This window comes from Homo sapiens, chromosome 8 (assembly GCF_000001405.40).
Source record: "Homo sapiens chromosome 8, GRCh38.p14 Primary Assembly".
In the NCBI taxonomy this organism is placed as follows: Eukaryota; Metazoa; Chordata; class Mammalia; order Primates; family Hominidae; genus Homo; species Homo sapiens.
Window position 1 is genome coordinate 14,988,450 of NC_000008.11, and position 20,880 is coordinate 15,009,329.

The 20,880-nt window shown below is 39.7% G+C and overlaps 1 protein-coding gene across 4 annotated transcripts in view; it reads right to left on the bottom strand.

The window, feature by feature from the left end:
* SGCZ (sarcoglycan zeta) overlaps positions 1-20,880 on the bottom strand; it is a 1,153,587-nt gene that overhangs the window by 903,605 nt on the left and 229,102 nt on the right. The gene's annotated exons all lie outside the window — the stretch shown is intronic.

Genomic DNA, 20,880 nt, shown 5'->3' on the forward strand with positions numbered 1-20,880 from the left:
CTGTCTTGACAAGCTTCTTTTATCTATATTATAAAATTCATTATTGGCCTAAATATGGATTGAGAATAGTGTTTTCCTTCCCTTTACTATAAGGTAGAAATGATTATATTTCAAATCGTCTTTTCATTTCTATGCAGCTGATGAAGCTATGCCTTTTTCTTAACATTTTCAATGCAGTACAACATATTAAAAAAAAACTGTTATTCTAATAGTTAGCCAAGGAATTCCTAAAAACGTTATTATATATATTGTCAATACATCTTAATAGAAATGTTTCCTTGTGAAAATACTGCATTCTGGGATAACGAAGGAAGCTATAACTATGCATTTTTTCCTAAGATATGTAGAAGAAAAATACCATTGAAATACTAAGAGAGAAAACTGCTACCCTCATTTATTTCTGGATATTTAAAGTTGCCCCACTGGCCCTCTAACAAATGAATCAATAACATTTGTGGGGAGGGGGGGCATTGATTACGAAGCCTGGAAAAATGAGTAATTGCTCAACTTAGTGATTCCAAAAACAATTTTGTATTTAATAGGCTCTTAAAAATGAAAAGCTATTTCATGGGACTCTAAGAGTGTGGATTTCTCTTAAGAATCCAGGGAATCAAGTTTGCACTGTAAACACTCGATGGGAGAAAAAAACCTCCCAGGACAGTAGAAACCCCAGTTAAGTTTATGGGATTCCCAGAGGAGAAGGGTCTGTGGACTACTTTTGAGTGGTAACTTGAAAGACACAAAATTATTAGGGAACACATATTCAAAATGGTGTCTGAGAGGTATGTCAGTAGTAATGGAGAAAATTACATAGGAGGATGATTGCAAGGGTCCCCATATCACTGTTCTGTACTCCCCAACAACGTACCAGAAAGATAAATAATTCATTAGCCGAGCGTGGTGGTGTATGCCTATAGTCTTAGCTACTCAGGAGGCTGAGGTGGGAGGATTGCTTGAGCCCAGGAAGTCAAGGCTGCAGTGAGCTACGATCACACCACTGCACTCCAGCCTGTGTGATAAAGCAAGACCAGTCCTCTAAATACTAATAGTAAAAAAATAAAGATAAGAGATTCATATGCCCTGAGAGGTCTATCAAGGTGGGTAAGCAACGTGCTCAGAGCAGAAGAGGCCTCAGGGATTCTTTCCTTTAAGGGAGCATGAATCATATGAAAATCATAAAATGACTAAGGAAAACCCTAAACTAATCATATGTCAGTACAGAAATAACCTAGTCACCCTCACTTGTCAAGGTTAGCTTTTCTGTCACGAGCAGAAATGAGTGTTCTTTAGTTAAGCAGAAAGAGAGATCGAAAATAAGAGAAATAGAGTTTCATCTTTTTCATATCCTGTTTTTGTTACAAAAACATCCATATCCATTACAGACATAAGTAGGAACCTGGAATTCTGGATGAACAATGAAGTGAAGGGAGGAGGAGAATGTGTGGTACAGAGACAAGTGAACTGTCCTGGGTTAGGAACTCTTCCTTCTACGTGTAGGGATGGCTGGTCAAAAGTACCGGGAGGTACGCATGACTGAGGCACTATTAATAAAATAGCTGCCTACATTTTAATTGTAAGCACTTTCCTTTGTTATTTGCTGATAACCAATGCCTTACCCTCCCAGTGCTAACCCAAAATCATGGTCAAACGTTGCCCTGCACACAGCCTGGTCTTCTGTTACTTTATAAAGTGAAGAAATTGAAGCAGTGGCAATTAACGCAACATGCTGCCAAAATCAAAGCCTCGTGCTTAGAGTAGAAAATCAAAAATATAAACCCAAAATTTAGTGTGATTTAGAGTAAGAGGCAACATAAAAAAGAAAATACCCTGCATATACCACATCCCTTTTAAAAAGTCCCTTGAGGCCAGGGTCCCTAATCCCCAGGTACCAGATCCCTGGCCTGTTAGGAACCAGGCCGCATAGGAGCTGAGTGGCAAGCAAGCCAGCCAAGCTGCATCTGTACTTTCAGCCGCTCCCCATCGCTGGGATTACTGCCTGAGCTCCACCTCCTGTCCCATCAACCACAGCATTAGATTCGTATTGGAGCGCAAACTCCATTGCCAACTGAGCATGCAAGGGATCTAGGTTGCATGCTCCTTATGAGAATCCAATGCCCAATGATTTGTCACTGTCTCTCATCACCCCTAGATGAGACCATCTAGTTGCAGGAAATCGAGATCATGGCTCTCACTGATTCTACATTTTGGAGAGTTGTATAATTATTTCATCATATACTATAATGTAATAATAATAGAAATAAAGTGCGTAATAAAGGCAAGGTACTTGAATCATCCCAAAACCATCCCAGTGCTAACTCGGTCTGTGGAAAAATTGTCTTCCATGAAAGTTGTCCATCCCTGGTGCCAAAAGGGCTGGGGACCGCTGCCTTGAGGTACAGGGAGAGAAAGGAGTGCAATTCAAATTTATTTAAATCTCAGAGGATCCTGTTACTCCCAACCCAGTCCCAGTCCAGCATATGATTTAGAGTTACCCAGGAGGGCAGAAATTGGGTTAAACTTAAAAATAATTCTTTGTCCTAACATTGCTTACACATGATTGTTTATTTGCATTGAAAAATGCAAAAGACTATTAAAAATACTGATCATTAAAAATTTTCATGAGTTTAAACCACTCATACCACTCCAAAACAAATATTTTTAACATTTTGGCAAGCATAAGGTTGTTATCCGTCATTTTTGTTTGCTTATTTTAAATCTTGTATGTGTATGATTTTCAGACATTAACATTGTTAATTGCATTCTCATTCTGGGGAAGGTCTTTATTCTCATTCCATTCAGAAACTAAACAGGCTCGATAGTAATAGGTACTTTGCTAATCAAAATATGATACAAGGACAAGCAGCATCAGCACCACCAAGGAGTTTGTTGAAATGCAAAGTGTTAGGCTCACTTCTGACCTATTCAGGCAGACTCTGCATTGTAACAAAATCTGCAAATGATGTGTATGAGCATTGGAGTTTGAGATGCCCAGGATAAAGACACTGCATATACCTAAATTCTAGGGCTTTGAGTGGCTCATAAATGTCTACCTTCGGCCCAGCTCAACTTTCATGTCATCTGGCCACGTGATGCTTTCCTTGAATATTATCAAAGCACTTATGCCCAGTATGTCCATAGCAAACTCACAAGTTTCTACTCCCCATATCTGGTCATCTTCTAGAATTCCTTGTGTTAGTGCAAGGAAACTAGTGATACCCTGGAAATTTACCTCTCACCCATCCTCCTCATCCAACCTACTCCCCAAATTAGCGTTTCCCTTAATACTTACCTCTCACCCATCCTCCTCATCCAATCTACTCCCAAATCTACTCCCCAAACTAGTGTTAATCTTGATGTTTACCTCTCACCCATCGTCCTCATCTAATCGACACACAAATCTACCCCCAAAACTAGTGTTATCCTTGATATTTACCTCTCATCCAATCTACTCCCAAATATACTCCCAAAACCAGTGTTACCCTTGAATTTTACCTCTCACCCATCCTCCTCATCCAATCTACTCCCAAAACTAGTATTGCCATTGATATTTACCCCTCACCCATCCTCCTCATTCAATCTACTCCCAAATCTACTCCCAAAACCAATGTTACCCTTGATATTTACCTCTCACCCATCCTCCTCATCCAATCTACTCCCAAATCTATTCCCAAAGCTAGTATTAATCTTGATGTTTACCTCTCCCCCATCATCCTCATCTAATCTACTCCCCAAACTAGTGTTATCCTTGATATTTACCTCTCATCCAATCTACTCCCAAATCTACTCCCAAAACCAATGTTACCCTTGCTATTTACCTCTCACCCTCAACTATTCAACTCCAAAACTAATGTTGGCATTGATATTTACCCCTCACCCATCCTCCTCATCCAATCTACTCCCAAATCTACTCCCAAAACCAATGTTACCCTTGCTATTTACCTCTCACCCTCAACTATTCAACTCCAAAACTAATGTTGGCATTGATATTTATCCCTCACCCATCCTCCTCATCCAATCTACTCCCAAATCTACTCCCAAAACCAGTGTTACCCTTGCTATTTACCTCTCACCCTCAACTATTCAACTCCAAAACTAATGTTGGCATTGATATTTACCCCTCACCCATCCTCCTCATCCAATATACTCCCAAATCTACTCCCAAAACCAGTGTTACCCTTGATATTTACCCCCCACCCATCCTCCTCGTTCAATCTACTCCCAAAACGAGTGTTACCCTTGATATTTACCCCCCACCCATCCTCCTCATTCAATCTACTCCCAAAACCAGTGTTCCCCCTTGATATTTACCCCTCCCCCATCCTCCTCATTCAATCTACTCCCAAAACTAGTGTTACCCTTGATATTTACCCCTCCCCCATCCTCCTCATTCAATCTACTCTCAAAACCAGTGTTCCCCTCAATATTTACCTCTCGCCCATCCTCCTCATCCAATCTACTCCCAAATCTACTCCCAAAACCAATGTTACCCTTGATATTTACCCCCCACCCATCCTCCTCCTTCAATCTACCCCCAAAACTAGTGTTACCCTTGATATTTACCTCACCCATCCTCCTCATCCAATCTACTCCCAAATCTCTTCCCAAAACTAGTGTTAATCTTTATATTTACCTCTCATACATCCTCTTCATACTATAATCTTCTCCCAAATATTATAAAATAGCTCTTGAATCCACCTTCTTCTATCTCCTGTCTTCCTTGAGGTTAGTCTGACAGCCCTTTAACTCACGAAGAGTAACCTTTGCCCATTATTCTTGTATGCCAGGTCTCTCCTACCACAAGTCCGTTGTATGTATTTTATTACTGCTGTATAAAATGTTCCTCCTTATCTGCTCATATATTCAACAAATATTTATTAAGCATCTAGGATGTACCCAAAAACCACAGGCTATTCTAGGAATGGGGCTTGAGCAGCAAAATAAGAGATGAAAATCTCTGGCCCATATAACACAAAGAAATCATGGGGCTGATATTCTGGTACTATCAAGATAGACCATAAATAAATAAATATATCATTTCAGAAGATGATGAGTGCTATGAAGAAAAACAAAGGAAATGAAACAGGATAGGAAATTCTTGGGCTGAAAGAGGGATACATACTCAAAATGTGATAGAGAATGGTCAGAAAAGTGCTCAATCAGAAAGCATAATTTGAGCAAAGACAAGAAGTAAGGAAGGGAGAGAGAATTCTAGCCGGGGCAGTGAGCAAAAGTCCTGAGGTAGAGATTGTGGATGGCAAGTTTGAGAAGGGTCAACCAGACCAGTGTACCTGGCGCAGCATGAATAGGCAGAAGAATAATAGGGACAAGGTCAATGTTAACAGACGCAAGATAAGGTAGGGATTTATGGGCCTCTGTTGGGATTTTTGCTTTTTCTCCACATGAGTTAGGAAGCCATCAGAGAGCACTTTGAATAAAGCGTCATATGACTTTGCTTAGATTTTAATGGTATGACTCTAGCTGCTGTGCTGGGGCCAGACTGTAAAGAAGCAAGGTCAGAAGGAGAAAGACCATTTGGTAGGATACGGCAGCAATCCAGCTGAGAATACATTGGGGGCTGGATGCGAGTCATGGCTGTGGAGGTAATGAGAAGTGATTGGGTTCTGAGTATATTTTAAATGCAAAGCTCATAGGACTTATCTTTAGTTCATTCATTTCTGTCTTTATTTAAATAAATTCCTGATCAATTTTACTTCCTTAGAAAAGCATTCTCTGATCTCCCCACATTTGGTCTCATCATGGGCTGTTACAGAACCATGGGCATCTTCATATGTATCTCAATTACAGTGGCGGTTCCACATTTATTTGTGTGATTGCTTTAAGATGCATGAGGGGGCTGGGCATGGTGGCTCCCGCCTGTAATCCCAGCACTTTGGGAGGCCGAGGCGGGCAGATTGCCTGAGCTCAGGAGTTCGAAACCAGCCTGGACAACACGGTGAAACCCTGTCTCTACTAAAATACAAACAATTAGCTGGGCATGGCAGCATGCGCCTGTAGTCCAAGCTACTGGGGAGGCTGAGGCAGGAGAATTGCTTGAACCCAGGAGGCGGCGGTTGCAGTGAGTCGAGATTGTGCCACTGCACTCCAGCCTAGGCAACAAGAGCAAAACTGTGCATCCAAAAAAAAAAAAAAGAAGAAGAAAGGGTAACCATGAGGGATGGACTGCTCATGGTAGATTAGGGGCGTGTGTGTATGTGTGTGTGTATACTCACTACATTCACAGCACCTAGAATACTGCATGGTCTACTCATCTGACTCAATGAGCATTTGTTGAGTGAATGGATTTATGTTCTATTTATACTATAAATTCAGAAAAAAATCTTCATTTTTAGATAACTCCCAGCTTCATTTCTCAAATATTATACACGTTTTTTCTTAAAATACTAGGCATATTGTGTTGACCCTCCCCAAAATGCTCTCCAAAACTGTCTGCCAACAAATTCCTCAACACCTTTCCTGCCAAACTATTTAGAAAATAATTTAACCAGAAAGCTTCCCCTAATATTATGTGTTGTTCTTCTGTTGGAGAAAATGCCAAAGAAAAAGGCATGCTGTGTTTCTTAGGACCATGAGAAATCTAACATCACTAGGACATACTGTTTGAAGTCCAGGGAGGTCTCTAGGAGAAATGCTTGCAGAAGTCAATAAAGGGAGTGCCATCAGAGGCCTTGGGGCCATGGTGAGGCATTTGGACAGGGAGACACTGAAGTATATTTATCAGGAGATGATTTGGTTTTATTTCTGCTTTGGAAAGCTCACGCTGGTAGCTCTGTGCAGGATGGATTAGAAGTATGGGAGACAAGAGACAAAGAACTAATAAATGAATGAAGAAGTGTGGGGATGATGACCTGATCAAAGATGACGGTGGAAAAGAGAAAGGAAGAGAGAAAGTAAAACTCCATTAATGGTTGGTTAGGTCTTGGGAGACGATTAATAGGGATGGGTTCAAGGAGTTTTCCCAGATGGTTGCAGGTTTCTATTTCAGATATTTGAAAGGACAGTGGTGTCATTAACTAAAGTACCAGGAGTTAGGACCACATCTAGAGAGCTGGTTAGTGAGATCAGTTTTGGGCATGTTAATTTTGGGGTTCATCCAAATGGGAAACTGCCTCTTTATATATTCATGTCATAATGCACAGGGAATGCAATGACCATTCACTTGAGAGAAAGGAGGCGTGTCCTTAGAGAATGCTGACCTCAGTCCCTTATCCTTCCTTAAGTTCAGCGTCTTCACATGTAAAATAGCATAATAACAACTGTATCTTAAAGCATTTCACACAAAGTGTTAAGTATCAATATTACTACTAAAATGTAGGGCTCTAAAATATCTAATATGCATTAATCTCACCAGAAAATATTTCTAGACTATCAGAGTTACATTGTAATCCTATGCTTTTATGGCATCCGTTTCTTACCTCTTAAGAGGTCAGCACCATTTTCTTTGCTTTTTTTTTGAGATGGAATCTTGCTCTGTTGTCCGGGGTGGAGTGCAGTGGTGTGATCTCGCCTCACTGCAACCTCTATCTCCCGGGTTCAGGTGATTCTCCTGCCTCAGCCTCCCGAGTAGCTGAGACTACAGGCGCCCGCCACCACGCCCAGCTAATTTTTTGTGTTTTTAGTAGAGACGGGGTTTCACCATGTTAGCCAGGATGGTCTGGATTTCCTGACCTCGTGATCTGCCCACCTCAACCTCCCAAAGCACTGGGATTACAGGCATGAGCCACTACATCAGACCACTTATTTGCTTTTATGTCAATGGTCATTACTGAGAAATACTAATCTATATAAAAATGCAGCATTCTGAACCGCATGAAACCATTTACAAAATTATTGAAAAGCATGTCTCTTTAACCATGCACCCTGACAACTGGTGCAACCAAATGAGGGGTGATGACAATGAAAGTTGTTGTAGCAGCCTGATGATATTTTATTTTGTTTTTGTTTTGTTTTGAAAGATGGTGTCCCTCCCTGTCCCCCAGGCTGGAGTGTAATGGTGCAATCACAGCTTACCGCAGCCTTGAACTCTTGAACTCAAGTGATCATTGAGCCTCAGCCTCCCAAGTAGCTGGGAGTACAGGTGCATGCCACCATGCCAGGCTCTGATGATGATTCTAATTGTCATTGAGGAAGTCAGATGGTGGAATTCAGAACTGACTCTACAGTTATAACCAAGAGGCTGTGTATTCTTCCAGTATTCTCTCAAAGTTCTAGATATGGTTAGCAAACTGCATCAGAGGAACTCCAGACATCTTCTGGATCTCCTTCCAAGGTCTTGGTTGTCCGTGGCCACAGCATTGACATTTGGGCTAAGAAACACTATATGCCAAACAATAATTTGTGCCACACTCTGTATTTGATAGTTATTCACCACTTGGATCCTTGGCCAACTTGAGAGGCACTGAAACTTCTGCCGTGGCTTCTACAATTCAGTCAGTTATTTGCAGTTTACCCCTAGTTATTCGTGGGTTAATAGAGGGCCCCTAATTACTACTCTACATAGTAAGGAAGACGCTCTTTTGTGTTCATTTGAAAAGGGTAGTTATGTTGTGGGATTTCTCCTTTTTGAAGGCTCTAATGTCTTCCTTAGCTTTCTCTTTAAAATTGAATCAATTTCTCCTTAAATTTCTGATATTTCTGGCTAAGCATTTACTCCACGATTGCATATCTCTTTGCTTTTCTCTTCTTCGTCACATTCACATATCTGTCCCGTATCTAATTCTCAGTGTTATATTTACATAATTAATAGGTTAATAGTATTCGATTCTAGGTTCCTTTAAAATTATTAGGATTGTAATCAATTATGGAATGTTATTTCTTTGCTATGAAACATTATTTTGTGAATTATTCTTGCAAAGGACTGAAAATATTTCCTTCTTTATTCTTTTATAACAAAGCATATACTACCTTATCTGAATCAAGATCATATTAATGCAGTAAAGACATCTCTGTGAACAAACATCATATTTCTGTAAGTGAATTAATCACTAAGAAAGATTAAACCAAAAATGTATTAACATGTAGGTCACTTTTATTATGGCAAAATTTATGCAAAGATCATATAATCGAGCTGCAATGCTTCAACTGAAAGTTAATTAGCTGTTATTAATATGTAATGATATTAATCAAGAACATTAGCTTTTCATGATTTTCTGCACCACTAAAAAGTAAAGCATCATTATACTTAAGATTCAGACAATTAGAAATAGTCCTGGCAGGGTGCAGTGGCTCACACCCATAATCCCAGCACTTTTGGAGGCCAAGGCAGGCGGACCACTTGAGGTCAGGAGTGAGAGACCAGCCTGGTCAACTTGGTGAAACCTAGTCTCTACTAAAAATACAAAAATTAGGCAGGCCTGATGGCACACGCCTGTAATCCCAGATACTCAGGAGGCTGAGACAGGAGAATTGCTTGAACCCGGGAGGCGGAGGTTGCAGTGAGCCGAGATGGTGCCACTGCACTCCAGCCTGGGCGAAAGAGTGAGACTCTGTCACAAAAGGAAAAAAAAAAATCCTAGTCATGTCATTGTTTCAGCACATGAAGTAAAGAAATGCAACTTCCCAGTGGTGTTCCTCCCTTTTGTCAGAAACATTAAGAAGATTCAACTACGAAGTAACACACCCATTAAAGTACTGCGTCTTTTTCAAATGTATAATAGAAAAATAGTGTAGGTAGCACGAAATCATCAATACTTAAAAGCCCAGAGGCACTACCTACAAAACGAAAAAGAAGTAAACATCTGTACATAAACATCTTTGCCTCACTCCTCAGCAAAGATAATGAATAAACCGTTAAGAATATAACAGGCCTGTTGAACCCAGCCTAAGGCATCTTTTCCATGAAAAATACAAATACTCCTTGATAGAAAGTTACTTCTGAATACAGTTCTGGGTTGTAGCTATAAGCTTTCCAGTAAGCTGATGATATAATTTAGTTTATATATACATTTGTTACATAAGGAGCGTGACTTTAACAGCAGAAAATGATGACAGATAGATAGCCTGGCATCACTAATTACCTATATGCAGTGCATTTCAATTAAATCCTTCAAACAGTTAACTTTTTCTTAAGAATCAATCCCATTTACCATGTGGAGTAAAAACTCATCTTGACTTCTGCCATAGTTTTAAAGTAGCTTCAATTTGCCATTACAAGTTTCAATAGCAAAAGCAAGAAGAGGAATTTTACTAGGTATAAATGTCTCCTTGAAGTCAATTATTCATAATTCTTATCAGAGTTTGGTCCTGTATAGAGTTGCAATGCTTGCATAAAACAGGGATCTAGATGTAGCAATGTGTTGAGTGGTTTTCTGCTGAAACTCAACTCAGGTCTATATATAACTATTTATTCTTGAAAAGTACGCCAAAGAAAACCTATTATAAATGTCTCTATATCATCCTAGCTATTGATATGGGTTACTGAGCCAAAGAGGATCACTATAGAACTAAAATTATTGATTGAATTTAATGCTCTGTTTTAGGATTAAAAGCAGGAATTTAGCTACTTCTATAATCTTGGGTACACTTGGATTTAATATCTAGTGAATAGTTTACCCACACTTAGGGGTGTTGTGTCCCAGGTGATGTTGGCAGAATTATGTATGGACAACACCTTTAGGGTGTTATCTCTTACTGATTCTGACTGATTATTTCCTGTTACAGAAAACAATGTGTGAATGTTTCCATGTAGCCACACATATATGAGAAACGGTTCAAACCAGTCACTTATCTAATACATGGGGTTTCTCTTAAGTGCAAAACATTATGGTTGAATGAAACAAGGTCAAGCTATCTTCAGAAACACAACTAAATAAGCTAGCAGTTTTATTACACATTAATACTTGCTGAGATACGTGTTAATTCTAGCCCATAGGATTATAGTCAGAAAAAGAGACCAGGATAGTTCCAAAGAATAAGTAAAATGTGAACTTAAACTTTAAAGTGAGAATGGGTTAGCCAGGCAAAGGAGGAGGAGGAAGAGGAGGAAAAAGTTCTCCAATAAAAAAGTAACATTTGCTAAATCAAGGATAACCAAAAGACAATGGCACATACAGAGGATGCTGCAATACTTATTAGGGTCGAGAAAAAGGAGGAAGTGGTGAGACAGAGGCTGGAAAATTAGTCAGAGGCTGCATGAGGGTTAGTAACTTCTCTCTATGCAATGTGGTGCTGCAACCCTGCTTCTATTACAGTCTCTGTCAGCACATCACAGGACCCTTACTCCGGAGCTTCTTCATAGCCTAACAATCTTCAGTGCACACCCCAGGCAGTCTGAGTCAATTCATTTAAAAAAGCTATGAAGGCCAACTCCCATGCACCATGCAAAGTAATGGGGAAGTAACCTAAAGACAATCGCGGAACAGCAAAAAGTTAAAATCAGATGGTTAGCAGGATGAGCATCCTGTTTTAGGAAGATCACTGGGATAACGTGTGAACAAGGTATTACAAGGGTGTTACGGGCTGAATGCCTTCTTCCGCCTACACCCCAGAATGCATACGTGGATGCTCACACTCTCAGGACTAGAATGTGACTGTATTTGCAGATAAGGTATTAAAAGAGGTAAGTAAGGTTAAATGAGGTCATAGGGGTGAGCCCTAATTCAACCTGACTGGTGCCTTATAGTGAAAATAGGACACCCAAAGAGGCACCAGGGGTACACTGACAAAGAAAAAATCATATGATGGGACGGCAGGAGGGCAGCCGTCTCCAAGTCAAGGAGAGAGTCCTGTAGGAAACCAACCCTGCCCAGCACCTTGATCTTGGACTTCCAGCCTTTAGAACTCTGAGGAAAATATTTCTGTTGTTTAAGCTACTCAGTCTTTGTTTCTTTGTTATGGCAACCCTAGCAAACTTTAAAAATATGGGATAAAGCCTTCATGAATGGACCAGTTTAGAGGGTGTCCTAGTGATATAGGAGTTAAAAAGAAATCACTTAGGCAGATAGTAAGGGTTATGCGAGTCCTACATAAGGCCTTCCTCTTTAATGAAAATTATTGTCTAACAAGTTATTTTCTAACAAAGAGCAGCCTGTAAAGTTGAGCTGCAGACATAGACAAGCAAGCTAGGAGCTTGCATGGGTGAGTGCCCCAGGAACCAGGGACTAGACATGTTCAAGATGGCGGCTCCATCTTCGCTTCTCTTTGCCAGCCACGTGTACAGCAAAGAACAGAGGAGATGGCACCGCTCAACTGGAAAGCCCATTTGCATAATAAGATTAAGTTGGGGCAACCAGCCTTCCCCACACTATGTAAACAATATACCCGATGGAAACAATCTGTGAGCCCTGTGTAAATCAGACACCGCCTTCTCCAGCCTGCCTATAAAATCTGCTGCAGTCCGCCATCTACCCGCTTTTTGGATGTCTGTCTGTCTGTCTTGCAAGGAGCTGCTCTCCTCACTCCTTTCTTCTGCCTATTAAACTTTCCACCCCTTAACCCACCCACATGTGTCTGTGTCCTTAATTCTTTCTTTGTGCAAGACAACAAATCCCAGAGTGTATACTCAAGACAACATAGCCACTTCACCAGTATCAAAGGTGAGAGGAAAATGGAAACCAAAACTGAAGCTCTGGCAAAAGGGACAACAACGGCTGAGTGACACTGCTGGGGCAGCTCAGTGACAGAAGAACAACTGGCCTCTTGGAATTCAATGCCATGCCCAAAGATTGGGAGGATGAAATTGTTCTCTGAGTATCAGGATGGAATCAAGTCAGGAATAACTCAATGCAATTTTGACGAGAGAGAGAGAGACTGCTAACGTGAGGATGAACTGTATCGTCACATTTCTGAGATAAGACTTCAGGGAGTTTCAAACACCAAACTTCAGCCCTTAGACTCATCTTTCTGCGGCTGTTGGATGCATCAAGAGCTGCCTTTGGGAGTTTCTGCTTTGCAGGAAAGTCTTGCAAGTTTACTGGGATATTTGTCACAAGGTATCTGAATCAGTCGTGTGCATTCTAGGGTGAATTAAAGAGTGGAGGGTAGGCCGGGCATGGTGGCTCACGCCCGCAATCCCAGCACTTTGGGAGGCCAAGGCGGGCGGATCACGAGGTCAGGAGATCGAGACCATCCTGGCTAACACAGTGAAACCCCATCTCTACTAAAAATGCAAAAAATAAGCCGGACATGTTGGTGGGCACCTGTAATTCCAGCTACTCGGGAGGCTGAGGGAGGAGAATGGCGTGAACCCAGGAGGCGGAGCTTGGAGTGAGCCGAGATTGCACCACTGCACTCCAGCCTGGGCAAAAGAGCAAGACTCCGTCTCAAAAAAAAAAAAAAAAAAAAAAAGAGAAAAAAGGAGTTGAGTGTAATAATGATTAATATTTATTAAGCACTTTCATGAAATGCATGCCATTATTATCTTCATTTTGTATATGTAGAAATTAAGACCCAGAGAAGTGAAAAGCTTGTTCCCAGCTGCATGGTTAGTAAGTGGTCAAGCTACTGCCATGCTAGGCAGTTTGATTCCTGATGATACCAGCTTTTGAGGGTTGAATAAAGAGCGAAGAAGATTTGAGAATTCTGCGTGCTTGAGGAGGAAATAGCACACATAAAAGAACATAAAACATAAGTGTTATCCTTCTCAAAAATTGTTGCATAGAGTTGCCGTGAAAATGGCAGTCAAATGTGCTTTAAAATGAGAAGTAAGACACATAGAGATGTAAGCCACAGAACAGCAGCATAACCATAAATATTATTGACAATGCTTCAGGAATGACTTAAGAATATAGTCAGCTCTAAAAAAAAAAAGCCATCAATAATAAGTCAATACAAAAACCTAGTGCAGTGATATTTGCCTTTAAGAAAACTGAAAGATAATTAATTTAATTCCTAAAATTAATACTTTAAAAAGATAGTAAGGAAATGTATAGAATACAGATTGCACGGTTGGTGCCTTCTGAGAAGAGAAGACATAGTAAGAATTTAATCATATAGTACGTTTTATTTTAAGGTTTCTGAGGCTTCTTAATCCTATATAAAGGAGAAGAGCTGTCAGACACATTTCTGGGAATGTGTGTGGCTGTGTCATTACCCTAGAAATAGGAACCCAGCAGCCTCATGGATAAAACTGACAAGTCGCTGGTAGGTAGCACGAAACACAATAAAAATTGAAGTGAGAAATAAGACTGACTCCAGAAGCAAAGGAAAAACCTCATAAGGGTGTGAGTGCTCAGCTCATCACCTTCTCAAGCTTTTTGGGGGGAAATCTTTAGTTTCCATTTTGTCCATCTTAAAATAGAACCACCGTCACAATAAAAAGTTCTTCTCTCCTGCATCTGCAAATATTCTTTTGTAACTCAGAATAATTGCTATGCAAAATCAGATGTATGCCAGCTGATATGATTTGGCTGTGTCCCCATCCAAATCTCATCTTGAATTACAGATCCCATAAATCCCACATGCCATAGGAGGGACCCTGGGGGAGGTAATGGAATCATGGGGTTGGGTCTTTCTTGTGATGTTTCCATTATAGTGAATACATCTCACAAGATCTGATGGTTTTATAAAGGGGAGTTCCCCTGCACGTGCTCTCTTGCCTGTCACCATGTACAACGTAACTTTGCTCCTCCTTCACTTTTCGCCGTGATTGTGAGGCCTCCCCAGCCTCACAATCATGGCAAAATTTAATATTAAAAGAGGTATATTGTCATGGTGAAATTTAATATTAAAAGAGGTATATTGTTGTCTTGGGAGAAAGATTTCTGCCAAGAGATAATTTAGCCAGAAATAAAATTTACTGAAGGAAAATGGAGAGCAGAGAGTTTATATAGGGAGAAACAGTATGCTCTGAAAGACGAAGCAGAGAGGGTTGCTGAAATAGAATGAGAACTGAGTGGAACTGTGAGTCAATTAAACCTCTTTTTATGTATAAATTACTCAGTCTCAAGTATATCTTTATTAGCAGCATTAGAATGGACTAATACAGTAATCCTTTCACCTCCGGAATTGGCAACCCTTCCCAGAAATGACTGATAGTTACGAAATTATACAGGTATGCTATAAGGTGATTGATAAAAAATTGATGCTATAATAAATGATTTGGTTACAACACTGCAAAATAAGTTAGTCAAACCATACAATTAAAAAGTAGAAAATGGAATGTGTTGACTTAAATAAATAGACCAAACTATTAATACACAAATAGCACGTCAAATAGAAATCTATGAAAACATAACATGTTTTTATATGACTCTTCAGCTTTTGGAAGACTTGGCTGTGTATATATAAAGATCCAACTGGAAATAAATCAGGATTTATGACAAAAACTCCAACTTCCAGAGTGGTTCCAGAGAACTAATTTTTTGGCAAGAATGTAACCCCTTCATGCCCAGGCCCAGTGAGTAATTATTTATAATCCCTATCTCGTAAGTGTTGCTGATGAAAACAATTATGAAAGTAATTTCTAATTTAGAAACCCTACCGGGGTCAAGTCCTTTACAACAACGCAGTTAATATGAAATACATCTCATGCTCCCACAACTACCCTTCAATGTGTTAGAGTAGGAAAACAGGTCAACATGAGCAGGAGGGGGGAAGCCCCTGAGAAAAGTGAGGTCTGGAAAATCTAACGCCCCAGAGATCACCCAAAATGTGCATGCTACATGTGAACAGAGAGGAGGAGAAATACCTGTGCAGAAAGAAAGGCTCCGTAAGACCCCCAGTAATCGCTCACTCTGCAGTTAACGTGCCAGAATGGAGCTAGATACATGCTGTTAAGGACGGCAAGAGGAGAAAGGAGAAAAGTCCTAAGAGATACGCAGGTGCACCAAGTATAGATTTGACTGCTACACAACCTTCCTGAGGTGGCGATAATGAGCAAGGCAGTCATTAGGTAGAATGTGCATGCAACACCAGGCCCACGCATGTGCACCAACTAATAGTAAGGGATGATCCCGCAAGCCTAGGGTGGATACTAGGTGGGGAAAAGGCAGGGACTCAAGGCAGAAGTGGGAAAATTAGACCAAAAAAGGCAGACACTTAAGATAGAGGTGGGAAAACTAGACCAAAAAAGGTGGAGACTTAAGACAGAGGTGGGAATTTCAAGAAAAAATCTGACATCATAAAAACCCAATGCAGAACTCCTGGGTTGCAGTGTCTCATTCTGTTTCAGCAGCCTGCTCTGCTTCATCTTTCAGAGTGTACCGTTTCTCGCTATATAAACTCTCTGCTCTCCCATTTTCCTTCAGTAAATTTTATTTCTGGCTAAATTATCTCTTGGCAGAAATCTTTCTCCCAAGACAACAAAAGACTGAGGATTCCCACCTTCCCGATAACAAAAGTATGTATTATAAGGAAGGAATAAGAGGTGGAAAACTAGTAAATTGTAAAGAGAGACGCAAAAGTTTTTCTGACTCAACACTAGGTGACAATGAGGGTTCCCAAGTGTTTATCGCAATGAACTGACGGGTTCTTTGTGTGCTGTTCAAATACAGATTCTCACCACTGCCACACCTCCACCCCCAATTCTGAATCAGCATATCTGAGGTGGTATCTATGCATGTATTTTTCTAAATATTCTTCCAAATTGATACTGATGTATGCAGTGGTCAGGTTGAAAACTGATGTTCTATACTCTGCTCTTCTTTCTAGATCACTTCACACGGTGCGCTAGATGGCAGAGGCTTCCTAAGGGAAAGGAAGCCTCATGCCGGCTAGTAAGTTACTCATGGGGAGATCCTTCACATTACTTTTCATAAAACGTAGTACAGTCTCTGAATGTGGAGAGGCATCAAAAGTTCAAAAGGCATGGTACCAAAAGGCACCATTTAGCACCATCTCAAAATGATGGTAGCAGGTTTCAAACCCACATCGTCTGTTTCCGGAGCCCCCTCCCCACGCCCCCTCCCCCGTTTTTTTCTTTTTCTTTTTTTTTTTTTTTTTTTTGACATGGAGTTTCATTCTTGTTGCCCAGGCTGGAGTGCAGTGGCGTGATCTCGGCTCATCACAACCTCTGCCTCCTGGGTTCGAGCGATTCTCCTGCCTCAGCCTCCCGAGTAGCTGCCATTACAGGCATGCGCCACCACTCCCAGCTAATTTTGTATTTTCAGTAGAGATGGTGTTTCTCCATGTTCGTTAGGCTGGTCTCGAACTCCTGACCTCAGGTTGTTCCGCCCACCTTGGCCTCCCAAAGTGCTGGGATGACAGGCATGAGCCACTGCACCCGGCAATCCCCCATTTTTTTTCTTTTACCAGAGTCTCTGTAAATAATACAGCCCTAGAACGTGGCTTCATTTTATCCATATTAATTTAAAGTCTTCATAAGAAGCAAATTGAACCTTAGCTGATATTTAACCTTATTATCAAAAGACTTAACTAGTCTTTATTATGCTGACACCAGTCTCCTAAAATAAAATAGTTCTGACCTTATAAGGTTTGACTGTTTCATTGTAATATGACATTTCAGATTCTTAGGAATAATTGCTGTGCTATTTTATTTTAATTGCCATGCACAACATAAAACGGAATGAGAAATTCTTCTCCCACCAAACTTGAACTAACAGATACTTTTTTGATAATGAATCATGGAATTTTAAGTGTTTGGTTCTGTTTTATTTATTTTGTCATTGACGGTAATCACATTGTTTATATTAGCACGACTAGGCTGACTCCACCTGTGATATCACCATATATATTATTGTATTTTATATTTATGCATTGTGGGAAAGAGAGAGGAATAAATACAAAACATATTTTAATGTCTGTTTAGAAATTACACAACGTGGAAGAATACCCTAAAAATAGCACTAGACATACTGATGATGAGTACACTTCAGTCTCCAGAACGGAATAGCAATGGCCATGATTTTCTATAAAAGCTTCCAGTTATTCATTTGCAGTAATTCAGAACTGTGTCCCCATTTGAGTGGCACTCAAAAATCCCTTGGTACTGAAGCAAAACAAGATATTGTGAAAATTCTGCTATCCAATAGCTGGATTTAGAAAAGGATTTAAATAATAATTGGACATTCAACACTGAAGAACACTAAGGGAAGAACCTTACGAAGCCTAATTTTGTTTAGACAATTTTGAATTTACTGATGTTAAGGGAAAGCCTGATCATTAGCCATTGTTTACCCCACGAAGAAAATATAGTTCATAATTAACCAGTCTCTGCTGCTCAAAAGTCCCCCAAAATGTTAAGAGTTAATAAATTTACATTAAAAATATAAGAAATCACAGGACTCATGTTGGAACTGGTACTACTGGTAATCCACCAATGGTGGGATCTGTCAAAAGATTAATTAGACTCTATAAAAAAATCTTGACGAGATTACATTTTTGGCCCATTGATATATTCATAGATGAGTTGTAAAAGCCTGTCTCCCATGTTTGAACCTGCATTCGACAAGATTATTAATACTGGAAACCATACTATCAGGGGATTTTAAATGTGCCTCTTTATACATTTTTGTAACCCAGAGAAAGCTAGCAAAAATGTTGACTTTTGTATATTGAAATATCAAGGAGAACAGTGCTGTGCCATGCATTTGAAGAAAGAAATTATTATTTTTCAAAAAAGGAAATAACTGTTGAAAATAACAAAAGGAAAGGGTAGTGTGTTAAGTTAGTACTTAGACTAGTATATTTAACTGTTGCAACTTTAGCACAAAAATTGAAGGACTGAGTGAAAACATTCCAGCCTATGACAGACAAGTAATTAGCTGCTCCAAAGGAAGAGATATATCCACAAAACATAAAAGCTCCATTATATAGTTAATCCCAATATTAAAATGCTTTTAATGTATTTGTAACCTCCAATACAAAAGTATATTTAGATATTAATTTTCACCACCTTACTATGACAGATTTTGATACTATGTTACAAAAAGATTGCACAAAATACCGTCTTATAAAAAATTTAAATGTAACTTTTGAAAAATTCTGAGTCTCAATCAAAAATATCTTGCAATTTGTTAAAAACTCTTGAATTCAGCATTGTAGTTCTCTAAAACTCTGATTCGAACTTTCTACAAATAGTGGTAAAATGTGAGAGGCAACAGAGGGTAATATTGAAGCCACGGTCTATGAGCCACAAACTGGGTGCATGTTCTGGCTTTGCCATTGACTGACAGCGTAACTCAAGGCATATCTGTGTTTCTCAATCGTCTCATCCGTAAAATGGAGATTCATGTTCCTGATATATTTTAAGTTCTTGAAATTAGCTGTAATTCTATAATTACCTATAATTTCATTAAATGGAAAAAGAACGCATTTAAATAAAAGGGAATTCTTAGCATGCATGTGTCATAATATTAAAATAAGTTGAAATCATCAGGCTTAAGTATCACATTAAAATACTAATTGAAATATAATTACTGTGTAAAATAGATAGCAGCATTTATTATTGTTATTACCTTGAGGAGATAAAATCATTTCAAACTTACATATGAGAACTATGTCAGATATAATCATAACGTGTTATAAATGAAATTTTTAAAATTAGTTCAAATATGTTTTTATTGTAGTTCACATTTCTTTTTTAATCTATTCAGCATTTCCATACAAAATATTAATTTTATACTCTCAAGTTACAGTAAGTCAATTCTAACTTGATAAATTGTTGTCTTTTTCTCTGTATTTTCTGATTTTCTATAAAAATATCAAAAAAACTACTGTAAAAGATCTTTAGTCTAAGTCTTCTTATCAAAATAATCTTCAAGAAGGATATTATCCCATTTTCTCTCTCTTTACATATCTCTGCACCTACTTGAAGCACTCATTCCTGGAGGCATGTCCTCTTGGATTTGCTATTAACCTTATTTTATCTACTCTGGAAATCCCTCATTAATTCGTAGGGCCTTCCTATTTCTTTTGCCAAATGAGTCCATTAAGTTTCTGTCATGGTTTAACAATGGTTGTGATATTTTCATTGTTTTAGTTGTTTCATTTTTATTTTTTATTGAAGGAGCCTTAGAAATGTTAATAGAAGGACAGTAGATATAACCACAATTAGGAAAAACAATTCAAAGACCTTCAAATTTTACTTTATTCACCCAATACCTTCAACTGTGGAATGAAAAAATAAAAATAAAAAACATTAACTGGGCCTGTATAAAGGGAGGGAAGGAAGGAAGGAAGGGAGGGAGTGAGGGAGGGAGGGAGGGAGGGGGAGGGGGAGGGGAGGGAGGAAGGACAGACGGACAGACTGATGGACGGATGGGAGGGAAGGAAGGAGGGAAGGAAGGAGGGAAGGAGATGGGAGGGGAGGAGATGGGAAGAGAGGGGAGGGGAGAGGAGAAAAGGGGAGGAGGGAGGGGAGGAGGGGGGAGGAGGGAGGGGAAGAGGGGGGAGGAGGGAGGGACGGAGGGAGGGGAGGAGGGAGGGACGGAGGGAGGGGAGGAGGGAGGGACGGAGGGAGGAAGGGAGAGAGGGGAGGGATTAAAACTTGAAACTGACAATTTTAAGTCCCTGACAATCACATTTTTTTATTTTTAAGGAAAAAACTGTCCTCATAGTGAGTTGGTTAATAACATACACAAACACACATGCACACACAAGTGCACACAATACTAGGTTATAAAACATTATCTCCTGTTTTCACGTATCCTGGCCCAAGCTATACAATTGTCCCTCCTGTAAATGAAATTAGTAAAAATCGTCATTTATCTGAATCACAGTATATTAATTTGTTCTCACACTGCCATAAAGAAATACCTAAGACTGGGTAATTTATAAAGAAAAGAGGTTTACTTAGCTCATGCTTACACAGACTGTACAGGAAGCATGGCTGGGGAGCCTCAGGAAATTTAATTATGGCAGAAAGCAAAGGGGAAGTAAGCATGATTTACATGGCTTGAGCTGAAGAGAGAAAGGTGGAGGTGCAACACACTTTCAAACAACCAGATCTCGTGAGAACTCACTCAC